The sequence below is a fragment of the Homo sapiens genome, chromosome 2 (assembly GCF_000001405.40).
Source record: "Homo sapiens chromosome 2, GRCh38.p14 Primary Assembly".
Taxonomy (NCBI): domain Eukaryota; kingdom Metazoa; phylum Chordata; class Mammalia; order Primates; family Hominidae; genus Homo; species Homo sapiens.
Window position 1 is genome coordinate 54,663,800 of NC_000002.12, and position 25,152 is coordinate 54,688,951.

Genomic DNA, 25,152 nt, shown 5'->3' on the forward strand with positions numbered 1-25,152 from the left:
TTGTTGACTTGCCTCATTTCCTTCCAGCTCTTAAGTTCCAAAGTCTAACTGGGATGGTAGATGTGAAATGCATGATTGTCGTCCTAATTTCTGCATGTGTTTATGACAATGTGTTGAGGGGAGGGGGAGGAGAGCCAGAGAGCATTTTCAGGAACCGAGGTCTTTCCTTGTCTTACTCTGGGGGAATGCCATGTAGCTCTGATAGAGTTGTCTATCGGTCTGTTTGTGAATGCCCTTTCGCTTAAACTTCCAGCCCTTCTGGTGGCATCCTTGGTTGTAAGGTGGCTGCTGTATAACGTCCACTCTCTTTCATATTTAATATGTGTGATTGTTACTGTTGTCTTTTTGTTTTAAAGTAACCATAAGAGGAGATGATCTGAGTTATATTTATTGATCAGAGGAATAGAGTGCAGTAAAACTCATACTGGCATTTCGCTTTTCTCATTTCCCTGTAAATGGGCGGGTATTAATCCATTCCCACCTTCTAATGTCCTTGATGTCCAGCTGGCTTTGTGGGTGTGCAATGGTTTTACTGTACTGCCTCGATCTGTGCCAGGCATTTATACACAGCCACATGTGCGAGTCAGGTAGAGCGTATGTGGTCACCCCCATGGCTCACGGAGTTAGCTGAATGGCCTCTCCGCTGTCCCTAGATGGCAGAAACGGTGGACACAAGCGAAATGGTCAACGGCGCTACAGAACAAAGGACGAGCTCTAAAGAGTCCAGCCCCATCCCCTCCCCGACCTCTGATCGTAAAGCCAAGACTGCCCTCCCAGCCCAGAGTGCCGCCACCTTACCAGCCAGAACCCAGGAGACACCTTCGGCCCAGATGGAAGGCTTCCTCAATCGGAAACACGAGTGGGAGGCCCACAATAAGAAAGCCTCAAGCAGGTAACAGCAGCAGAGGCTGCCACAGTAAGATGGGAAGTCAGCCTGTGAAGGGATAAGGCGGGCCACTCTTGAATTGGAAGAGAAGTATGTGCTCATGTAGTTTTATTCCTTTGGTAGCTTCCTGGACATTGCATTCTTCTTGGGCTGACGCTGGAAAGCAGGAGTAGAATGCTGGTTATTCACTGAGAGAAGAAGAGTTGAGTTTGGATGGGAGTAGCTAGAAGGGGCTTTAGTAGTTCATCTAGAGAAGGAATTTGCTAGATTGAGACTGAAGAGTCTTCTTTACTTTAAGTGATTGATTTCATTTAGGACTCCTTGTGGGTTTTTTGTAAAAAGCCATTAACCATTTCCCCTGCCCTGATCTCCATATCAGCCTTTATATATATTCATTGTCTCTCAACAGCCCCAATTTTTTTATTTAACAGATGGGGAACAGAGGCTCTGAGCGGTTAACAAAGCTTTCTTTCTGTGGAAACCTAGTAAATGGCAAAGCTGGAATATGAAACTGCAAAGCCTATGTGCTTAACTAGTAAACCCAACCACCTGGGACCACCATATCTTACTGTGCAGTTTGTTGCTGTGTGAGGGGATCAGAACATCTAAGAACTGCCATTCACGTTGAGGACAACATAGGGATTTATATATTAATACATGCTGGTGTAATACAGGCCGGTGTTCTGTTAAAATTAGTATATTAGGACAGTTTGCCATACCATAGGGGAAAAGCCACTTTATTCTAATTCACCCAAAGGTACTGTAAGTGCTGATGGCTCTGGGTCTGTCTTTCTGTCAAGTTGCCAAGTCACATAAGTAATGAATCCGCAGCTGGAGGAGCTGCTGCTGGAGGACAGGCATGTTTTCAGACAGGAGCATGGCCTTTAGCTCATGACCATAAGAGGGCGCTACAGCAAAGAGTACTAAATACCAATCAAAGTGAGCTCAGAGTACAAGAGGGTAACTTGCTTTTCTCCGAAGTGAAAGAGAAGACATAGTCCTCAAACACTTGCCCTGTGCCCTGTCCCTGAACTCTCCATGGAGGAATTTTTTCTGTTGTTTAGTGTTAGCAGAATTTAGGAAGGGCTTGTAATAAGGAAGGTTGAGGGTTGGGTGGGGTCACACTGTGTTGTGTGAGGATCATTTTCATGTTAATGAAATGTTTAGTTCTTTAAGGGGAATGTGGTAGAGCCTTTATCTCCCCCTGCCCTTTTTTTTAAACTGCACAGGTCCTGGCACAATGTTTATTGTGTCATAAATAACCAAGAAATGGGTTTCTACAAAGATGCAAAGACTGCTGCTTCTGGAATTCCCTACCACAGCGAGGTCCCTGTGAGTTTGAAAGAAGCTGTCTGCGAAGTGGCCCTTGATTACAAAAAGAAGAAACACGTATTCAAGCTAAGGTGAGAGTCGCCGTGCTTCATGGCTGCCAGAGTGGGTTTGCATTTACTTCCACTCTGGGGTTTGGTTTTCTTATACAGCTGCTGTGATTAGTTGGTTCTGTCTTCTGCCATTTTAAATCCCCAATAAAGTGAAAAACCAGTTTGGCACGTGTCTCGGTTAGGCTGAATTCTTTGGCAACTGTGGCCAGCCACCAGCTTCCCTGTGGTTAACAGTACATCTGAGCATTGAAGGATAAGGAGCTTTTGCTTTTATAACCAGGCACTTACTGTTCCCTAAGACTTAAAGAGAGCTAGTCACATTTCACAGTTTAAGGGAGGCTTTGAAAAATAGTTTCCCCATCTTTTCAGCTTATCCCGACCCAGGAGATGCTATTCTTTGCTCATGAATTATCTGGAGATGGGTCAAGTGAGTCATCCTGGAGCTGGATGGAGACAAACAGGAAATGTTTGGGTGGGGCCTGGGACCCTGTCCTCCCCTGACTCTCCCAGCAGATGCTCCAGCTGTCTCAGAACCATCTAGTTCCAAATGTCTCTACCCTGTAGGATACATGTATCTCCCTACAGAGTGGAGCTAAGCTCAGAATTTCTCCTCACACTTGGAAGTAGGCAGAAAAATTATTTTATCTTGTAAAAAGTGGTTAGAATGCTTGTTTACTGATTTGTGCTGTTGCTTTGGGATCTGAAAAGCTTTGGTCTTCCATTTATTTGTATGTTTCATGCCAGTTGGACTAGGCCCAGGGCTCCAGAGGAGAGAGTGTCAGATGGTTTGATTTATTAAGCTCTGCTGCTGCGCAGTGCAGGCAGGCTCTTTGGGTCCTGGAACACTTTACATTTTGTAGGACAATGCACCGGCAGCCTGGCTCCTTGGCTGCTTTCCCCTTTGTACTCCCTTCATGCAGCTTCAGAGAGCTGGGATATTAGCGAACGGCCCCTACCCTGTGTTACACAACAGTACCCTCGTCCTCTCCGCAGCCACAGAGTGAACCTGTGACCCTTCCAAGCCTGGGGACCTCCCAGTGTCACACTAATAGGGCTTCTTAATTCTGAGACATACAGTAGAAGAAAAGTTGAAGGACATTTTCTGTTTGCCTATTCTGAAACTCTGGAACATGTGAATGTAGGGGATACAAGCTCAGTAGCAGAATTTCAAAAGGGCTCATTGTGTTCAAAAGCTTTCTCCTGAACTCAGTTTAGACCAGTAAGTGATCAGGCATCCACAAGTGATTTTTGCCACAATAAACCCAAATGTTATGTTTGGGGCTTTTTAAAATCCTTCCATTGGATTGAAGCACAGGCTCCCTGTGTGTATCATTGGCGCGATTATATGGCTTCTTGATCTCCAGGGGTCTGTTGCTGGGCCTGGGCGGGTCCCCAGGCTTGGTGGTGACATATGTAGGTTGACGCTTCTGTTGTGACTCCTGTGGTCTACTTCTGTCCTGCATGGGATATGGGAGTTGGGGGATTTTTATTTCTCTGTAATTAAGTGGTGACTAACTTTCTTCCTTGAAATTACAGACTAAATGATGGCAATGAGTACCTCTTCCAAGCCAAAGACGATGTAAGTTTCTAAATGTTATTTCTCTCCACTACTTAGGAGTTTGCAAGTGTTTGTGTGATGATGGGCTTTATTCAGAAAGTTCTTCATGTAAATGATGATCAGTGATGGTTTCTATCACTGGGCTCCAGTCACCAGCACTAGAAGGTGTTTGGTTCTGTCTCTAGAAGGCAGTGAATATGATCTCACTGTCCCTTTGCCGAGGCAGGATCCCTTAAAGTCGATGGAATCTTTGCCTGTCCCCTCCCAGGGATGAGGCATAGTGAGGTGGTCCCAGGACTGGTTGTGGATCATGATGGGACCCCCGCTGCACCCTTCGCCAGCAGCCAGCTGTTTAATGGGTGTGTACCTCACCTCAAGGAAAGAGAGAGTCCATTGATGGAAAAACAACACCTGTAATGCTTTAAATGTGAAAAAGCACCTTCTAGGGTGGGATCTGACCACCTCACAGATTGAGACTGGTCTTCCAGCTGTTACAAGTTTGTAGGGCCACATACTAGGGTGATGAGTAGAACTGAATTCTCATGAGAAGCTGAACCAGGTTCCCTCTCCTGTACTGATAAGGCAGAGGTGCATTTGGGGACAGTGCCCAGAAGTGACTCTGCTTACCCCTCAGTTGGCCAGATGCGCCATTCCCAAGCCTTGGAGCCAGAACCCCTCATGCCTACTCTTAGTTGAGTCTCACCTGTGTCCCTTCCTCTGTCCAGGAGGAAATGAACACATGGATCCAGGCTATCTCTTCCGCCATCTCCTCTGATAAACACGAGGTGTCTGCCAGCACCCAGAGCACGCCAGCATCCAGCCGCGCGCAGACCCTCCCCACCAGCGTCGTCACCATCACCAGCGAGTCCAGTCCCGGCAAGCGGGAAAAGGACAAAGAGAAAGACAAAGAGAAGCGGTTCAGCCTTTTTGGCAAAAAGAAATGAACTCCTTTCCTTCACCTCCTGCCCTTCTCTTACCTTTTCAGTGAAATTCCAGCATGCAAGCTCAGAACCAACACATTACTCTCTGTGCCTAATGTTCCTCAATGTGGTTGATTTTTTTTTTTTTTTAATTTATAGAGCATTTCGGGGGGGGTGGGGGAAACACACCTAAACACTTTATCTCCAAGTTACAAAAGTTTGAGGTGCAGAGGGAAGGCCAGATTTTTTTTTTAATGAAATTATATAGATTAGATCTCAGTATTTAAACTGTTCCTCAATTTTGTGAGGCTGTGTTGGAAATAACCCGCCTCTAGTGCTGTTGGTATGCAAGGCAGCGGTGCTTAATCAATATTTCCTGTGCTCACCAGAGGCAAAATGTACCAATATCCTGACACCATTCTCTCTCCATTTACTTCTGGTGGTTACCCTGACTCTTGACTCTTAGAAGTGCCCGAGATGGGGCTAACCTTTATTAAACAGATCGCATATTATGATCTTGCTGCAGCCACAGTGCAGCTCCACATTAACTCTACAGACCAAACCATTTGTATCTGGCATCACTTACTAACACACGACATGCGGCTTTTCTGCATCAACTGCTATGACGGTTAAGAATGTCAGTATACAAGAAGGAATAGAAAACTGATACTGTTTTAAATAATCTGTAATTTCAATTTTTTTTTTTTGCTGAAATACATTATATTGTACGTTTGAGATAATTCTAGTACAAAGTATAATAAAACTAGATGTATAATAAACCCTTTAAATCATTGGTAAGTGTACAAGTGGTGGAACTGAAGCATTTACTGGACAAAGTAATGTTACTCTAATGGTTACTTGCTCGTGCGTTGCCACACTGTGTTATAATTTGCTTCATTTCCTTGCTATTTGATACATAGTGTGCATTTCTCTGTCACTGTAACTATTGTAATGACAAATTTTCATCTTACTGCACAATCAAAATGACATTGATAGGAATGAACTCCAGAGGCTGGGCCTGAACAGGGAGGTGGTCGCTCAGGCCTGGTGCTCAGTCGTACGACCTGTACCTCTCAACTTTTGCCCTATCTGTTAAATATATGCTATGTCATTAAATGCTTTTAAATCTAGCACGGTGACTAGTTGTTGTTCTTCCTCTGCTGCGTGTGCATGCCCAGTAGGGAAACTGCAAAGGGAGAAATGACAAACAAGAAACATTTTACAACCAGTCTGGGCTCACTTTTGCATTTTTTATGCATGTCTGGTGCACAAGCTTTGAAAACTACAGCAAACAGTAATAAATGTGACTGTTTTGTAGTTATACATTCAGGCTTTATCTTTTATTTATGAAAAAGTTACCAGAGCACTTGTGAAACCTGAACTCTGAGATAGGGGTTGGCAAATTTGTTCTGTAAAGGGACAGAGATAGTAAATATTTTAGGCTTTGTAGGCCGTAACTGTCTCTGTTGCTCAATTCTGCTGTTGCGTAATACAAAGGCAGCCATTGACGGTATGTGAATGCCTGGGCATGGCTGTGTTCCAGTAAAACTATTTAAGGACATAAATTTGAATTTCATATAACTTTGACATGCCATACAATATTTTGATTTTCTTAATGATTTCAAAATGTAAAGTCTATTTTATACAGATCAGACCAAAAAGAAGAAAAAAAAAAAACAGGCAAGAGGTTAGGTTTGGCCCATGGGCCATAGTTTGCTGACTTCAGCATAGAGTCGTGGGTTATTTACAAGTGACATACTTTTCCTGGGTTATCTGGGTATGTTGACTCCATGCCACTTGCATAAAGCAGCAATGGATATTAGTATTATGGATGTCCAGTAAGTTATTCCACAAAGACCATGCCTAAGGTGGCATCAGCCCTGGGCTCCACAGCTGCGTGGCATCAAAGCTTTCTCTTAACTCTCTTACCTCTAGGCAAACTGAGACCTCACCATCCTCTCCCCTGCTTCCCACGACAGTCCTTTGCCCTTGCCATGCTCAGGGTTGGAATCAAGTTGTTCTATTCTCAACAGACCAAAATGTTTAGTTAAGGCAAAGTATCTTGGAAACAATTGTGATTAATTACAGTCTTGTACTCTTGACAAAGCTGTGCAGATGGCAATAAGTTCATACCAGCAATCCTGGAGTCCCATAATAAATACGTACATGTGGAACATCGTGCACATAATTTCAACAGTTCGCAGATCTGTAGTTATGAAGCCAGGGTTTGGTGGTATTTGCTCTCTCTTGGTGCATTTGATAAGGATCCACTGAGGCCTGAATGTGGAAGATGATGGGCAGCGAGAGGAGCGTCAGAAGACCCCAGTCAAGACGTGTTCGCCATCAGAGGTTACAGGCCGCACAGCCTGATGAGCTTCAAGCCTGGCAGGGTAAATAGTTTTTGGGTTTTTTGTTTTTTTTTTATTCTTCCACTATCATGTTTTTTGAGGATTTTGCATATTTCTTGTTGCCATAATGCTGTGCTATTTTACCCTGATTTTCAGTGATACAATATGGGTGACAATACTGGCCCCTCCATAAATCTGAAGAGTAAGAAGTAGTGAAAATAAGGCTTAGGATATGAAATGGCGTTGTCACTTGAATCAAGGCCACTTTTTGTCCTACTTGAGCATCTCAAGTTGGGATGCATCTTCTGATGGCACTTCCGGAACTGGCTGTGGTTTTTTTGGGTGTACCGAGAGTGCCAGTGACTGTGCTTCTTACAATTCCTGGCATCTTGAGTAGGTGAAACACTGTATCAGACTGGGTGATGGGCACATTGTCATTTCACCAAGTTCCTGGAACTGTTAGAATTGCTTGTGTATGGGGATCCTATGTTAGTTCCCCTGGATACATTGTTTTATCAGTCGGAATTCTTAAATAAAGACATACTTCCCTTCATGTAGTGGTGCAGTCCATGTAGAAAAGGCAGGATCAATGCTGGAGTCTTTCCCATTATTTGCATTACTTTCCTATAATCAGCGTTATTTATGAGTTGGTTCCTATCCTCTAAAGATGAACAATTTTTTAAATATTATGAATTTATGGGCTTAAATATATTTGAGTTTTCTGGTGAAATCCTCGTTTTTTGGTGAATATGTTTTATAATTTTGAATTGACCTTTCTAAACATGGTCCATAACACAAAAACATATTTTAACAAAGAAGAAAAAAGACTTCTTTCCATCAAAGCTCAATAGAGATTTCTGTCTATTGAAGATCATGGTGAAATATTTCATTTTCCACTAGAATAGTTTAAAATTATTCATTTGCTTTATTCCATGTTATAAAAACTCAGAATAGCAATACTAATACTACCACCACCAATAACTGAGAACAGTTTTTTTTTTTTTTTAACTCTTTATTTTGCAATACTTGTATACTGACATGCAGTTGTAAGAAATAATACAGTGCTGTTTACGCAGTTTCCCCCAGTGGTAGCTTGCAACACTATATAGTATAGTATCACATACAGAATATTGACATTCAGTCAAGATACAGAACATTCCTGCCACCACAAGGGTACCTCCTGTTGCCCTTTTATAACCACACCCACTTCCCACCTCCACTCCCTCCCCAACCTCTGGCAGTCACCAGTCTGTTCTTTATTGCTGGAAACCTGTCGTTTTCTTCCCCTAACAAATATTTATTGAGCACCTACAATGTGCTGAGTTTTGGGGATCCACTGAAATTTCTTATCTCAAGAATGTTGTATAAAAGGAATAATGTAGGATGTAACCTTTCAGGATTGACTTTTTTCTCTGACGTAATTCTCTGAAGATTTATCCAAGTAATATTGTGTATATCAATAGTGCATTCCTTTGTGTTGCTGAATAATATTCTGTGGTATGGATGTACCACAGTTTTTTAGCCATTCACTTACGGACATCTGGGTTGTTTCCAGTTTGGGCTATTGGGAGTAGAACTATATTAAACATTTATGTTTGGGGTTTCCTATGAACATAAATCTTCATTAATCTGGGATAAAGAAATACCCAGGAGTGCTGAGAAGAATTTTGAAAAACACTTATTCTACATGGTCTTTCCATTCTCCCCTTCAGCCCCATTTTTAGGTAGTTTCACCTCATCTGCAGTGTCTGAGCAAGTAACTCTTACTCTCTGCCTCTGAGCCCTCATTCAGTCTTCTACAAATCTTCATATATTTAACCAGCCTTATGTCATTGTCTCCCATTTTGGCTGAAGCTCGTTCCCTTGGTATGCAGGGTGTGTGTGTGTGTGTGTGTGTGTGTGTCTTTCTTGAACCCGCCTCCCAGTTCTCTGGATCAAGTACTTGAAGTGCTCTTTTTTACTTTTCAGAACTGAATAAAGATTTCCCTCGGGGAGAAATAAACGTGAGCTTCAAAGTTTTTCAAGGTTTAGACCCAACTTAAAGAACACAGGCCACCCTAGAAAAACGAGTTTTTCAACTTGTAGAAGGAAAATTCAACTGGCCTGCCTGTGAGAAAGAATGTTATATCCTATTTGAGCTTTGAATGTTTTTTTGTTTTTTGTGGGGTGTGTGTGTGTGTGTGTGTGTGTGTGTGTGTGAAAGGTCAGCCTTAAAAGCAGCATTTCAGAAAACAGAAGTGAAAGGTCCTGCTTGTTCCCTTTCATGTAAATAGGGATCACGATGTGTGAGTAGCTGACGCTTCTCTTCCATGCGGTTCAGGGCATTTTCACTCAAGTTTTGAAGAAGCTTCACCAATCCCTCATACTCGTGAACTGGGCTGATTTGGGAGAGTGATAGTGGGTGATAGAATTACTGAGTAGAATTCAAGTTTTTCCAAGGTAATGCCTCATTTTGACTCTTCTGTGCAGGGGAGCTTGGAAGACCTGCTTCCTCAGGGATGCCCGGGTTTTCTACGGCCCCTGGCGTTAATTGCCTGACCTGTGTTTTCAGTGTTCCTTTCAACCTGGTGTAACTTATCAGGGTTGGTTTTTCTTATGGTCAGGGCCGAGTCACAGCAGGAAGAGGACACATAGGCATAGGACTCTGTAACTGAAACTCAGAGAAGCTGGCAGGAGCTCCCTTCACTCCCTTACCCGGCACCCACAAGGCCTGTGGCTTCCCCGTGGTGAGCCTGGGCTCTGTGCGTTCTTGCCTCAGCACAGACATCCTGGAGGGCGGCCATGCTGGGGCCCGCAGGGGCGTGTGGCTTGCGTATGTTTCCACTTGGCCTTGACTTGTCTTTTCGGATATTTATCACACGGTGGAGACCCATTGTGTCCGGGAGTGGAAATCAGGGAGGCAGGACGTTAGTGGTGTTTCCTGAAACTGGTTCTTTAAAGGGAAGGGGAATTTCCCTTACATAAGCCCGCAGCGACTTTCTCCACAGGGTGGGGCATCCTGTGTTCTGGAGTCTGGGCGCTGGGCGGGAACCTGGGAGCTTTCTCCAGTGGAGCTGAGGCCAAGTCTTGGCTCACAACATTTCTCCCGGGGAATCTGCTCCATCTTCGGTCATCATTTACGTTTCTCCGTCACAGTGAATTATTTCCAGTGTTCCTGTTCCTCAAGTTTTGTTTTTTTTCGGAGGAAACAGTCGCTCAAGGTTTTAATCTTCCATCTTAGGGGAATGTCCACAGCCCTAATTAAAATGGCCGTGGCCGGGCTTGGTGGCTCACGCCTGTAATCCCAACACTTTGGGAGGCCGATGCGGGCGGATCACAAGGTCAGCAGTCTGAGACCAGCCTGGCCAATATGGCGAAACCCCATCTCTACTAAAAATACAACAAAATTAGCTGGGCGTGGTGGCGGGCACCTGTACTCCCAGCTTCTCCGGAGGCTGAGGCAGGAGAATTGCTTGATCTTGGGAGGCGGAGGTTGCAGTGAGCCGAGATCACACCACTGCACTCCAGCCTGGGCGACAGAGTGAGACTCCATCTCAAAAATAATAATAATAATGGCTGTAAGGAGCGTGCGTTTCTGAGCCAGTGCTCGCAGGCGTGCATACGGGGCCTTCTCCTAGCTGCCATCTGTTACACGGGTCTGTCATCTCCCCACTTGGATTTGAGGACTCTTGTCTTTCCTGGGGACACATGATTGGATTACTTCATCCAGCTTGCTCAGCCTCTGCTCTTCTGAGGAAAGAAGGTAGGCTCTGAAGCCAGATTGAATGGTGGCTCCTTCACCTCCCAGCCCCGTGACAAGTAAAAAAAGACTCCCTTATCCCCTCTGCAAAGCACCCACCACGCACCAGCCATGCTGGGAAGCAGCCCTTGTGGCGCTTACAAATGTGAGACTCCTCTTCGTCTGCTTCATCTGAGCCTTGGCCTCTAGAGGAGATTAAATGAACTGATGAACGCCACACTCCATAAATCGGTTCCTTTTCTCCCATGGTAGTCTGTCAGGCAGGAGCCTCTTTTATTTTAAAGCATATTTGCTCCTGTGTTCAAGGCTGCCCCTGACTGCAGGTGTTGATAACCCCCCACCCCACCCCCGCAACACCACCTCCGTGTTTTCCCTCCGAGGTGCTTCAGTTGGGGCATACCTGGCTTCAGAGAGCAAATGTAGGTTAACAAGCAGGAAGGACCTCTAGGGGTCTAGTTCCCCTTGCTACCACCTCCCGAGCTCCCTTCTCCACCAGGCATTGGGGGGTTACTTCAGACACTGGCACAGCTCATCAGCAACAGGAGCTGATATGGGAATGCAGTAAATTTACAAATTAACCAAAAGTCAGCCTAAGAAAGTATTTTCTTTTGAAATAAGGCCCTCCAAAAGGCGCTACTTCTGTTTCTTTGAGGAGTCAGAACATCATTTGGCTGGGAAACAATCTGTGTGGTGCACACTGTCCCTGCTGCCTGGCCCCGTGGCGGGGTTGCAGCTCCCTCATCGCTCAGCACCCTATTATTTACAAAGTCTCCAGCTCTGACAGGGGGTAAAATTACCCAGAGAACTGATGACCCAAAAGCCAAGGGTGTCCCATGTGCCTGAGAGCTTCGCTGTAGATAGGAGGGTGACTGGGCTGGGGACACTGAGCCCGGGTCCCGGGGAAGCCATTTACTCGGGCATGAGGGTTTAAAGGAAGAGGGTGCCACTGGTGTTTGGAAAAGGTGAGAAGGCAGAATGTCTGGCTTTCCTCAGGTGGGGAAAAAATTTCAATTCCATAGGAGAAAAGTTTGCGAAGATGAACCCATCCTTATGTTCTCTTTTCACCTGTGACACACGATTTCCATCATTTCTCTATCACAGTTGCCTCAGGAAGCGGGGAAGGAGGGGGAGCAGCGCTGTAGCTGGAACATAACCTGATGGCCCCCTCGTGTCTCAGATCATCGGGCACCAGTACTAGTGGCGGCTGTCCTTGTAGCACTTGGCGCAGAACGAAGAGGAATACCATTTCTGCTCTGGCTCTGACACAGCCAGCATTTGGCCAGGCGCCTACTGTATGCGTCAGTCAGGTGCTGCCCTTAGCACTTTCCCCATGTTAACTCGTTCCAACCTTCACAATGACCCTGTGAGGTAGAGACTTATTAGTGAGGTGTTGTTAGACCCACAACCTGAACTGTCAGCCCAGAGAAAAGAAGACTGAGCTAAGCCAGAGCTGGTAGAACCAAGACCACAGTGCTCTGAAGCTTTAACACGGTCTGGCTGACCCCAGGACTGACCTTCCCCCTGCCTCATCTCCATTCAGCTGCCTTGATATCTTGAGCTGAGAAGGAGGTGTGTGTTCAGGATCTCAGTGGCATCCTGCGCTGTGTAACAAGTGGATGTGTGAGTGTGAACACACTGCATAGGAAAAGGGAGAGAAGCCAGGAGCTCACGCTGGATCTGAACCTGTCAGGACAACTGATTGAAAAAAATCAGTCAGTGATTTAGGTATGGGACTCTGAACCACTGGTTTTGTTTCCACCATTTGTTTTCCTCCAAATGGAATGATTTCATCTTGCTAATATTAATAGGTAACCAACTATAAGGTTGTCCAGGCAGTGTGCTAAGTTTTCAAGTTGCGTTCTCATCAAATCCTTGCAGCAATTCTACCAGGCAATGTCTTCATTGTACAAAGAAGAAAACAGAGGCTTAAAGAGTTAAGTACTTGTACAAATCGCAGCTGGATATTTGAATTCTGACACATCTCTCCAGAGGCCACACTCTCAGACTACACTAACTGTCCCCCACCTAGATTCTTTTCCTGCACTTCTCTGTGGGCTGAGGAATGATGGTCATGGAACCAGTGCCAGCTGAGAGGGCATCTCATGTGTGTAAGCTGTTGCCCCAGTCGTGGGCTTTCAGAGAAAGGACTGGATACCCAGTGTCATGTCCACTCAACAGCCATGCAAGGCTGGGTTCTTGAAGCCACAGCTCTTCACTGACTCCTTGAGCATCCATGTGACTCTAGAGTTTAGCTATGCAAGTGCAAGCTTTGCTCTCAAATACATGTGCAATGTAATTAGAGGATAGCTGATGCCTGATTCACTGGCCTTACAAATCTGTAGCTGCCTGGATTTCAACTGTCAATACATGCTGAAGTCCTTTTCGGATCAAATTTAAGTTCAGATAAAGAGTGTGTGGTGGGGACACAATAAATATTTGGAAGGAAGAAAAGATGGAAGGAAAGAAGTAAGGAAGGAGGAAAGGTAGGGCAGAAGGACCCTCCAAACAGCTGGGTACTCTGTAGCCTCAGAAGGTTGGCAAGATAAATCACAGCTCAGCATAAAGCCTATGTCGGTGTCTGGTGTTTAAAAAGTGGGGAGGAGAGGCTCAGCCCACAGCCTCTGTGGACAGGTTTTCTTTCATCTGCTTTCTAGCCAAAGGATGTGAAGACAAGCTACAGGAACTGATGGGCTGCAGCTGAGATAGGTCAGATTTTCACTCTAGCCCCCTGAACTGGCCACAGGGCCCCTTCGTTCCCTGACTTCCATCATTGCTCTTTCCTGTGATGTCTGACCTCCCCTGTGTCACTGCATCTGACTCTTGCTGCCTCCTCAGCACCTGCGGCCCCATCTCCTCCAAGTTCTGAACTGCACAGGCATCTTCTGAGGTACAGCCATGTTTGGGTGCCCAGCCGGCTCTTCCTGCAGGTCTTCCTGCTCTCCTGATGTCCCTCAGCTCACAACCTCTCTTTTCTAGCAGAGCATAGAAAGACAGGAGCTGACTTCTGGATGCCTGGTCATCATTTCCTTCTTTAGTTCCATTTTACAAGCCCAGGTGCTGTATGAAAAACAGGGCATGCTAACCCTGTCTTCCATCCACTAGGGCGGAGCTGACGGTTAAAACAAGGCTCTTTCCCATGCCAGCAATTAGACCTCCATTTCTCAGAAGAGGAAAGAGGGGAAGCGTGAACAGACAGAAGGGCTCATTTTCTGTTTGTCAAAGGAATAAATGGATTAAGGATCCTTGCATTTCAAGATGCATTTCAAGATTTCAGAGATGGAGTCTTGATAAGACAGTGAGAACTGACTGAGAGGGAGCTGCACCCAATCACGGGGCCACGCACCCAGGGACAGTTGCACCTATATGGATTGTTTCCCAGCCAAATGATGTTCTGACCATTAACTCAGGCATCTGGGATTCCCCAAAGAAACAGATGAGTAGCATCACTTGGGGGACTTTATTTTTAAAAATAAAAATTCAGTTCCTTAAATAGGCATTTGGTGACCTCATGTTTTTTTAGTGAAACATGTTGGTAAGAGATGCAATATTTTGAACAGGAAAGACAGTATGATAAAAGCATTCTTGGGCCAGGTGTGGTAGCTCACACCTGTAATCCCAACAGTTTGGGAGGCCAAGGCGGACAGACCACTTGAGGTCAGCAGTTCAAGACCAGCCTGGCCAAAATGGCACAACACCATCTCTACTTAAAAAAAAAATTAGCTAGGCCTGGTGGTGCACGCCTGTAATACCAGCTACTTGGGTGGCTGAGGCACGAGAATCACTTGAACTTGGGAGGTGGAGGTTGCAGTGAGCTGAGATCATGCCCATGTACTCCTGCCTGGGCAACAGAGAGAGACTCTGTCTCAAAAAAAAAAAAAGCATTCTTCCTTTTTTTTTTAACTCTAACAACCCACTGGCCCACATGCCTCAAATCCTACATAGTTAAACATCACAAGTACCTATTCTGCATACAATTTTTACTTACATATGCATCATAAACATTTTGCTGTGTTTCTACAAGACTTTGTGATGCTTATTTCAAGGACTATTGGTAGTTTTCCACAAGTTGATGCAGCATCAGGCATTAAAATGCTCCCCAGATGCTGAGCATTTAGCAATAACACCATTCTCCACCAAAGAGGCTTGTGTTCCCAAAATTACAGCTCTTGGTTCTTTTTGAGAGCAGTTTTCTGGGGGCATAAACTGCCCCCTGGTATGGCTACTGCACAGACCATATTCCCCTTTAATCACGTGCCTTGGTGCAGGGTACGCATCTACTAACCACTTTCCCCTTGTGGAAATGTTCTCCCAGGGGAGTCATTCTCCTGCCCAGCCTCAGAGAGAGCCTTGATCTCAGCCGCTCTGACAGCTTCAGTCACTTTACATTTCAGGAAACTGAATATAGGTTCTAATCTCTTTGCTCTCTAAAAGCTTCTGGGGTCCTAATGCAAATTTTATCACCCCTAGTTTAACACACTGTAAGCCCACATCAATAATTTTCAAACACAAGCACACAAATAATTTTTATCTTACCAAACACCCTCCCAAGCTTCTTGGCAATTGCCAGGTCAGAAGCTAAGGACACGTTTACAGATTTTTGCTAAATATTCCTATTACTCCTTTCCAAATTACTTTCCAAACAGTGTATCCATTTAGTTACTAGCTATAAACAAAGGTACAGTCAGTCCTCACTTAAGGTTGTCAATATGTTCTTGCAATCTGAAAGTAAGTAACACCAATTTTACCACAAGCAAATTAATATTCCTATGGTTTATTTCTAGTCACAAACACATCAAAATTCTAAATAAAAACCAAAGGCCGGGCGCGGTGGCTCATGACTGTTATCCCAGCACTTTGGGAGGCCGAGGCGAGTGGATCATAAGGTCAGGAGTTCAAGACCAGCCTGACCAACATGGTGAAACCCCGTCTCTACTAAAAATACAAAAATTAGCCGGGCATGGTGGCGCATGCCTGTAGTCCCAGCTACTCAGGAGGCTGAAGCAGGAGAAACACTAGAACCTGGGAGGCAGAGGTTGCAGTGAGCCAAGATTGCACCACTGCACTCCAGCCTGGGCAACAGAGTGAGACTCCGTCTCAAAAAAAAAAAACACTTCTGATATTAACCACTGAAATAAATATGAGCTATACATACATTTAAGAAAGATAAATAAAAGCAAGTAAGATAACTTACTCAATAATAACAGTTCTCTAGGTTGCCGGAGTCTCCAGTCTCCGGTTGCTGTAGCTCATTCCAGCAGCTCAGGGCTTAAAGTAAGAACCAGCCCTGAACAGGACACTGTCACATCGCAGGGCACACTCACACACACCCCACACTCACACCAGGACCATGTAGACATGCCGGTGAACTGAACATGCACCTCTTTGAGGGGTGGGAGAAAACCAGAGCATCCAGAGCAAAACCCCTGTGGACGTGGGGAGAGCATGCAAACCACACAGACAGTGGCCCTGGCAGAGAATCAATTTTTTTCTCATCATTAAAAAAAAAAAAAAAAAGTTGAATGAAATGACATTATCTGAGGAACTGTTCTCGTTGTTGTGCTACAGAAACAATTGTTTTTGTTTTTAGTAACTATCATATGGCACCTCAAGCTGTGAGTTTCTTTGACTGCTAGCTAGGGTCAACTTTTTCTCCTGTTTTTGTCATCTTTCTTTTTTCTCTTTCTTTCTTTCTTTCTTTCTTTCTTTCTTTCTTTCTTTCTTTCTTTCTTTCTTTCTTTCCTTCCTTCCTTTCTTCCTTCCTTCCTTCCTTTCTTTCTTTTTCTTCTTTCTTCTTGCTTTTTTTTTTCCTTTTTGTTGAGATGGGGTCTTATCTGTCACCCAACCTGGGGTATAGTGGCATGATCACGGCTCACTGCAGCCTCGACCTCCCAGGCTCAATCGATCCTCCTGAGAGCTGGGACTACAGGGATGTGTCACCACTTTCTTTTTGAGTGAATTGAATTGTTCATTCATATCTGATTTACTGAGGGTTCTGAATCACAAGCCACAAAAACCAACTCTGGCTAATTTAGCAGAAAAGGAACTTATTAAGGCTCCCAGAATCTCCAGGAGGACAAGGGCACCAGGCTTAGGGCTTATACAGCCAGGAAAAATGTCCAAAGTCCAGCCTAGGGCAGGCTCCTGGAACTCGTCACTGGACTCTGACACTGCCAGGTGCCCACCATGACACCATACTGTGCGCAAACCCTGCTGTGGGAATTGCTGTCTTTGACAGCAACACGCTGCTGCAGTGACAGCTGTCCCTGCCACTGCCCTCACAGAACAGATTCTGCCAGGCTCCCCTCTGCACATGACCAGCCTCTAATTCAAAATCATGCAGGTGTACAATTGACAGATACTGGCCATGGATCTGTGCCCTTGCTGCAAGTGCAGCTGGGAAAAGACCTCATATTCTGCAGAAGGAAGGTTCTGCCCCTTGAGGTTACAGATTCTGCAAACACAGGAACAGCGTTTAAAAAGTAGCTGGCTGTGTGAATTTCCCTTTGCTGCTATACCAAATTACCACAAACTTAGTGGCTTCAAACAACATAAATTTATTATCTTACAGTTCTTCCATAAGTAAGAAGTCTGACACAAAAACTCACTGCATTAAAATCAAGGTGTTGGCAGGGCTCTTTTCCTTTTGGGATGCTCTAGAGGAAATTTCAATTCCTTGCTGTTTGCAACATTTAGAAGCTGCCCACATTCCTTGGCTCATGACCCCTTCCCCATATTCAAAGCCAGCAATAGTGATCAAGTCTTTCTCACACTGCATCACTGTTGCCATCCTCTGCCTCCTTCATCTACTTTCAAGGACCCTTGTGATTATATTGGGCCCACCTGTGTAATCCAGGATACTCTCCCTGATATGGTTTGCCTCTGTGTCCCCACTCAAATCTCGTTTTGATTTGTAATCCGCACAGGTCGAGGGAGGGAGACCGTTGGACCATGGGGGCGGTTTCTCCCATGCTGTGGTCATTGAGTTCTCAGGAAATCTGATGGTTTTGTAAGTGTTTGGAAGTTCCTCCTTGCTCCACTCTCCTGCTGACTTGTGAAAAATGTGCCTGCTTCCCCTTCCACCATGACTGTAAGTTTCCTGAGGCCTCACCAGCCATGCAGAACTGTAAGTCAATTAAACCTCTTTCCTTTATAAATAACCCAGTCTCGAGTAGCATCTTTATAGCAGTGTGAAAGCAGACTAATACAATCCCTATTTTAAGGTCAGCTGATTAGCAACTTTAATCCCCCTTTGCCATGTAATGTTAAACATATTTGTAGTTTCTGTGGATTAGGATGTGGACATCTTTGGGAGACCATTATTCTGCCTACCACAGTTGCCAAAAACAAAAAAACAATGAAGCTATCCACTGCAACATCCTTAGTCTGCTTATTTATTGGCATCACTATGATTTGCTTATAAATTGAAATGTTTTCTCCAGATTTTTACCTTTTATCAATTACACCAAATGAAATATTTCCCTCAGTCTGCTGTTTTGTTTTTGTATGAAATTTATGTTTCAGTATTAAGGTCTGTTCATTTCCTTGTGGTTTTATTTCTTCAAAACTGAGGACATGAATCTTCTTTCACAGATCTGATAACACATTTATTTTGTGCTTTTTAATACCATGTTTAAATTTAAATAAATTCTTCTGAAATTTGTTTTGATGTCTTTTATAAGGGGTACCTCTACCAATTGTTTTCCCTGATCTCTAGCCGGTTATCCTAATACTATTTACCTAATACTATTTAGTAAACAATCTCCATTTGACCTCTTTTCCTTTTTTTTTTTTTTTTTTTTGAGATGGAGTCTCGCTCTGTCGCCCAGGTTGGAGTGCAATGGCATGATCTCAGCTCACTGCAAGCTCCGCCTCCCAAGTTCAAACGATTCTTCTGTCTCAGCCTCCTGAGTAACTGCGACTATAGGTGCACACCACCACACCCAACTAATTTTTGTATTTTTAGTAGAGATGGGGTTTCACCATTTTGGCCAGGCTGGTCTCGAACTCCTGACCTCAGGTGATCCACCTGCCTCGGCCTCCCAAAGTGCTGGGATTACAGCCATGAGCCACTGCGCCTGGCCCTGTTTTCCTATATTAAAATATTAATAACTGATTTTCATTGAGGATCTAATATTTACTAAACACCAGGATTGGTACAGTTAGCATTATTTTGTCTCTTAACAAAAATACAAGGTAAACTCATGTCTATTTTGTTCCCATTGAACCCCCTGTACCTAGCGCACAGAGTACCCAAACCTAATCCACAGCAGGCACTCAATAGGCATGTATTGAATGAATAAACAGCTAAAGTAAATTTGTATTTGAATCAGTCCTTGTTGATTTCACTAATTCACTCTATCATCCTCTTCTGTATTTGGGTCCCATTTCTAGTTTCTTAACGTTTTTCTATTTTTTTTCCACTAGCACCACACATTATATTATTGCCATTTTTTAACTCCAAGGGTTTTTAGCTGTTGTTTTTCAAAGTTTTATTTTGTTTACATAGAATTCAGTCCAGCATAAATATCTGCATTCAGATGTAGGTGCTGGTGCCAGGGGGGATGGGATGGGATCGGTGGTAGCGGGGCGTATGTTTGGTAGAGTTTGTAAACTGGGTGGACAGAGCTTTTGATTCTGAAGATTGCGATGGTTACTATTGTGAAAGAGAATCTTGTGAAAAGTCCACTGAGTGATGCAGCTCTTGATAAGTTCCTTATCATTGACCATTCAAAATGTAATTCATTTGGACTTTGCTGTCTTATACCTTACTGTGCAAGTAGATATAATCTTTAAACTTTCATTTCTCCCTGAGTATTTGTAACAGAATAGGGTTTGTATTCACACCTGGAGCCTTTTTATAATGTTTTCATTTTATTTTTGGAGCATTGTATTGTTATCATTTGCTCTCATGTTCTGAACCAACTGAGAAATAAGAGGTATGTGGATGAAGGCCAAAATATCAACTTTATTACTGGTGAAGTTTAGGTTGTGGGAGGTACCTTTGTGCTTATATCTGAAGCTGAGCATACAATAGACATACCTGCCCAGTTATGGAAGGTACTGGACCATCTCAGGTCTCCTCTGATGAGGGCAGGACATTTGTTATTAAGCCTATAGCTTGGCCAAGGGCAGAGAACATGAGCTCCATGCAGGCAAGCTGAGTTTCCATGAGCAAAATGGGAAGGGGCTGAGCTGGGCTTGCCCTTTCCCATCAGATAAACCACTCTATTGCCTCAGGGTGGAGTGAATAAGTGGCGACAGGAAGTGGAAACCATAATTTAGCTCCAAGTGGGGTTACATTTTTTCTTATCATTACCCAACTTTTTCTTCTGTTGACCTATCACGTATAACCACTTAAGTTATGTGTTCTATAATTTACATGTACTTTAAATTCTTCAGCCTAGGTACTGTGATATAAATACGTGAGTTTGCTTTAATCTACACTCTTTGAGTATTCAATTTTCCTAATTCCAGGTTCTCTTTAACCCTGATTAGCAAGAGAGGCTCTGTTAATTAGCCTAACAGGAGTTTTCAGTCCAAATGAGTGCCATCAAGATGAGGGTTGAAAATTACAGGCAATCCTACTCACTAAATAAGGTTTAAAATTTTGGTGGTAGTGGATTATAACCCATTAAATAAAACCAAGTCAAGTTCCATGAGTTCATACAGATACAGATAAATGAATAAATAAATGAAGAAGGAAAAGCTCTTTGCTTATATTGTGATAGAAATTCAACAATAAAACATAGAAAAAATGATGAAATTAGAAAATCATCAATGTTGCCCAAAATAGGGGGTGAGAGTTTCAAGACAAACTGTGTATTTACACACTCTCAAAGTATCTTCCCAGGTATTGATTATTAATGACAAAGGCGAAAGTAGTAACTTTATTCTGAAGAATATTGGAGTGCCCCACCTTAACCAATCACCAAGATTAGCGTCACCACTATAGGGGCAAACGAATTTCATATGCTTCCTGATATGATACACCCAGAGGGACACATTTTCATTTGTGATATTTTTGCCAAAAATGCATGGCCTTAATTTAATCAAGAGAAAGTATCAGATAAAGTCAAATAAAGACTATCCTTTAAACTAACTGGTCTTTATTCTTCAAAAATGTCAAGGTTAGGAAAGGCAAAAACTGATGGAGGAACTGTTCCAGATGAAAGGAGGCGTAACTAAATGCAACGTGCAATCCTGGCATGGATCCTGGGCCAAGAAAAAGAAATAGCCCTAAAGGACATTACTGAGACAATGACAAATTTTGACTATGGACTGTAGATTATGTAATAGGTTTGTATTAATGTTAAATTTTCTGATTTTGATATTAAAAATGTTCTTATGGAGGGGAATGTTCATCTTAGAAAAAGACACTTACATTTAGTGGCAAAAGGGCATGATATCTCCAATGTACTGTCAAATGATCTGGAATAAATATTAATAAAAAGAATGATAAAGCAAATAAGAAAAAATGTGAATAATTGTTAAATCGGGATGAAGGATACACAGGAGTTCCTTGTACTAGTCTAAGTTTAAAATTACATCAAAATAAAGTTACCCAAAACCGTTGTGCAATAAAAAACACAAAATCAATATTAACAATTTTTAAAAGCTTCTCAATAGTCTACTCCCTTTAGAATGGCTCTGAGGCTTGACTGATTTCAAAACTGCCCTGTGTTCAATTGGCTTGGAGGGTCCTTGTGCCTGTATCTGACTATATCCTGCCACCAGGAGACTGTCACGTTTCCATCTCGTTAACTCCTTCCTTTCTTTCTTCCTTTCCTTCTTCCTTTCTTTCTTTTTCTTTTTCTTTCTTTCTCTAGCTTTTTTTCTTTCTCTCTCTCTCCCCCTTCCTTCCTTCCTTTTCTTCCTTCTTTCCTTTCTCTCTCTTTCTTTCTTTCTTTCCTTCCTTCCTTTCTTTCTCTCTCTCTTTCTTTCTCTCTTTCTTTCTCTCTCTCCCTTCCTTCCTTCCTTTCTTCCTTCCTTCCTTTCTCTCTGTCTCTTTCTTTCTTTCTCCTTCCTTCCTTTCTTTTCTTCCTTCCTTCTCTCTCTCTTTCTCTTTCTCTCTTTCTTTCTTTCGATGGCGTTTCATTCTTATTGCCAAGGCTGAAGTGCAATGGCATGGTCTCAGATCACTGCAACCTCCGTCTCCCAGGTTCAAGCGATTCTTCTGCCTCAGCCTCCCAAGTAGCTGGGATTACAGGTGCCCACCACCACGGCAGCTAATTTTTTTTTATTTTTAGTAGAAACAGGGTTTTACCATGTTTGGCCAGGCTGGTTTCAAACTCCTGACCTCAGGTGATCCACCCGCCTTGGCCTCCCAAAGTGCTGGGATACAGGCATGGCCACCGTGCCCAGCCCCATCTAGTTAACTTTCTATGCACAGAATGGAGCTGGGACTTCACTGAGTTTTCAGAACAAGTTGTAGAACTGTTTTGTGCCTCCTTGTTAATAAATATTTCTATGTGTGGCAGAATTCAATAAAGGACTTACTTTCATTATAACCTGATAGTGAGGTTATAACATAAGCCATAGACATTCACGAAGGAAGTCTCTTGTGAATAACCAAATCATCTTAGGTGAGTTTGCAACAACTCACCCTTGGTCATCCAGGGATGTGGCTCTCCTGGGAGACAAGATCTGCAGCCCACGTGGAGGAGGGTCGTGCTCCTGTCTGTGTGGACTAGCTAGCCACTGTCTCTTTGGGTATCCCTTAGACTGCTGCTGGCCAGCAGGGGTGGATTTATCACAAAATGGAAGCTTCAGGACCCTTCACTTGCTCAGGCTCCTTCCAAGGCCCTATACCTAATTTTGTTTTCATCATTTTATGTTCTTTTTTTTTTTTTTCTTAAACCACTCCCTTTCTGCAAATTGTATAAGCTTCAGGCCCCACAGAATCTGCTGGGTAGCTTAAATTTTGTCCCCAGAAGGTTCTGACGTGGGTCAGAACAGTACATTAAGCTCCAAGGTCGCTATTACACAAAGCTGAAAATGTACTCCCTCTCCCGTTTCTGATCCCCGTTTAGGTCCAATCCCATTGTCTATCACTAGGAGTTCTGCAATAAGAGGAAATAATAACATTAAGATACTCCAAAAAACAAAATGCAAACATTTTATGTATGTGTTTATTTATTTTTTTGAGACGGAGTCTCACTCGGTCACCCAGGCTGGAGTGCAGTGGCGCAATCTCGGCTTACTGCAACCTCTGCCTCCCGTGTTCAAGTGATTCTCCTACCTCAGTCTCCCGAGTAGCTGGGATTACAGGGGCGTGCCACCATGCCTGGCTAATTTTTTTTTTTGTATTTTTAGTAGAGACCGGGCTTCACCATGTTGGTTAGGCTCGTCTTGAACTCCTGACCTCATGATCCACACTCCTCGGCCTCCCAAAGTGCTGGGATTACAGGCATGAGCCGCCCCGCCTGGCCTACAAAATGCAAACATTTTAAAGGGGCCCCAGATGTGGATATAAATCCTTCTTCTGCAGTAAATTCTCAGGGAGAAATAAAAGTTTAAAGAACAGACCTACTTGCATGTTGAAGTCCAAAGGTATTAAAATCTGAAATCAAATTATCTTGCCCTTGTGAGTTAAAGTTCAAATAAATGAAAGTCAATTTAAAGTCCATCTCCCCACACCCATTTCAAATTCCTAGTGGCTGGGGGTCTCAAAGCCTGGGTAGAGTTGAAGTCCTCTTAGCAGCTGTAGCTGGCACCATTGCTTCCAGGAAAGGAGGTGGTTCCTTAAGGCATGGCCTTGGTTCCCACCAAATTTAGAAAATGAGTGAATCTCCCTCCCTGAATCCATTTTCTCAGGGAAAAAAAAATGTTTTTTGTGTTGCCAAAAACGATAGCAGAGACTCAATTGTATCTAAGGAAAAGAAGGTGGAAGATAAAAATCCCTTCTTTCTCTGGAGCAGACCCTAGGTCTGAACCAATGTCCTAAAGAACAGGAAGTCCTGTGGAGCAGCAGAAATAAGCAGATAACAAAATCGAAAACATAGTGTAGGGCAGGTCTTCATGTAACATATTTACTAGGTGTCTAATGGTGCCATGCACTGTCATCTTCTGGGGCTGCAGTGGTGACAAGGCAAGCAAGGCCCTTCCCTGGCATGGATAAGACCCATGCACCCCGATGCAAGGTGGCCAGGTCTGCTCATAGCTTGAGGGAAAAACAGATTTACCAAGACAGGATATTGGTTTGAACTCCTCACTTCTTAAGTAACAGAGAATGATGGTTCATCTTGATTTGATGGCAGAGCAAACCACAAAGAAAGTAGTCATCTGGGAAGAGGAAGGGTTAGAAAGGAAAAACAAGAAAAGCAATTGAATACCTGCTTCCTCTGGCCTTGCAGACACCAAGCTATGACAGTGTGAGTGGGCTTCTTAGAGAGTCTGCCACTGTGCATCTTGACTCTAATTTTCTTATTTTATTTTATTTTTATTTTGAGACAGGGTGTCGCTGGCACTCCTGGACTGGAGTGCAGTGGTGCAGTCAAGGCTCACTGCAGCCTCGACCTCCCATCTCAAGGAATTCTCCTGCCTCAGCCTCCCAGGTAGATGGCTGGCTCCACTTTTGAAGCAGAGATTGCCACTTTTCTTGTACTTTACTATTATTTTTAAAATGACCTTTTTTTCTAGCATCCTCCCCAATCCCACTGCTTCTCAGGGCATAAGTCATTTCTCTTAACTCTTTTCTGGCTACATTGCTTTGAAACTCCTAGCATTGAGCTGATGTTGCTCAGTGGAAATACTCCTGCCTACTAATGCATGTGTGCCACTTGCACACATGTCCTCTGCTAAATCGCTACTCCATCTTGACATTTCACTTGTCTGCCTTGACTAAGATTTGGGAGTTGAAACAAATATAGCTGCTCACATGTTATGGTCCTTTCTCTTCACCTTTGTCAGGAGATGGGGATGCATGTGAGTTAACACCCCAAGCAGGCCATTAACAACTGGAAGGCAGGAAGTTTCAGTCAGTATCAGAGGGGAAATCTGACTTCTAGATGCTGGAGCATACACAGAGCACAGGGGATGGATGACATCAGTCCTTTACTTTACTCTTAAGACACGTATTCGTCCACACCAAGGCTTTCTGTTTCCCTGCCTTCTCTCCCTACTCCTGAGTCCTCTCAGTTTGTTTCACTTCTTGGCTAAGATGAAAAGAAAGCAGCATGGGTATGTCCCGTAGCAGCACTGGATATGAAGTCTCCATGAAGCCAATATCTTTCTGATGCTAAGGAATGTTTATCTGTGCAAAGGTGATAAGGTAGAATCAATTAAATGCAGAATGGATTCAGACATCTGGGCAGATAATTG

The 25,152-nt window shown here is 43.7% G+C and overlaps 1 protein-coding gene and 2 long non-coding RNA genes across 14 annotated transcripts in view, besides 1 other annotated feature; 2 read left to right on the forward strand and 1 right to left on the reverse strand.

Annotated features, from left to right (window-relative positions):
- Positions 1-7,647, forward strand: part of SPTBN1 (spectrin beta, non-erythrocytic 1) — a 215,120-nt gene extending 207,473 nt beyond the window's left edge. For all 12 annotated transcript variants that reach the window (NM_003128.3, XM_017004781.2, XM_017004779.2 and 9 more), the window contains 4 exons: positions 654-892; positions 2,116-2,289; positions 3,805-3,847; positions 4,552-7,647. In NM_003128.3, coding sequence (NP_003119.2) covers positions 654-892; positions 2,116-2,289; positions 3,805-3,847; positions 4,552-4,770 — 675 coding nt within the window. In that variant the 3' untranslated portion in view covers positions 4,771-7,647. The remainder of the gene's footprint in view (positions 1-653; positions 893-2,115; positions 2,290-3,804; positions 3,848-4,551) is intronic.
- On the reverse strand, positions 373-16,246 carry SPTBN1-AS2 (SPTBN1 antisense RNA 2). Its single transcript, NR_186176.1, has 3 exons — positions 16,025-16,246; positions 799-1,042; positions 373-649 (listed from the first exon to the last, which is right to left on the reverse strand). It is a non-coding gene; the product is annotated as an SPTBN1 antisense RNA 2 (long non-coding RNA).
- Positions 9,713-10,007: an enhancer, noted in NCBI's record as "tiled region #11587; HepG2 Activating DNase matched - State 14:Gen5'". NCBI's record gives its function as "activates a minimal TATA promoter and a strong SV40 promoter by Sharpr-MPRA in HepG2 cells {active_cell/tissue: HepG2}" and the evidence as "EXISTENCE:reporter gene assay evidence [ECO:0000049][PMID:27701403]".
- On the forward strand, positions 10,583-21,227 carry LOC105374653 (uncharacterized). The gene is made up of 3 exons (XR_940104.2): positions 10,583-10,836; positions 17,757-17,956; positions 20,961-21,227. It is a non-coding gene; the product is annotated as an uncharacterized LOC105374653 (long non-coding RNA).
- Positions 21,228-25,152: the final 3,925 nt, after the last annotated feature.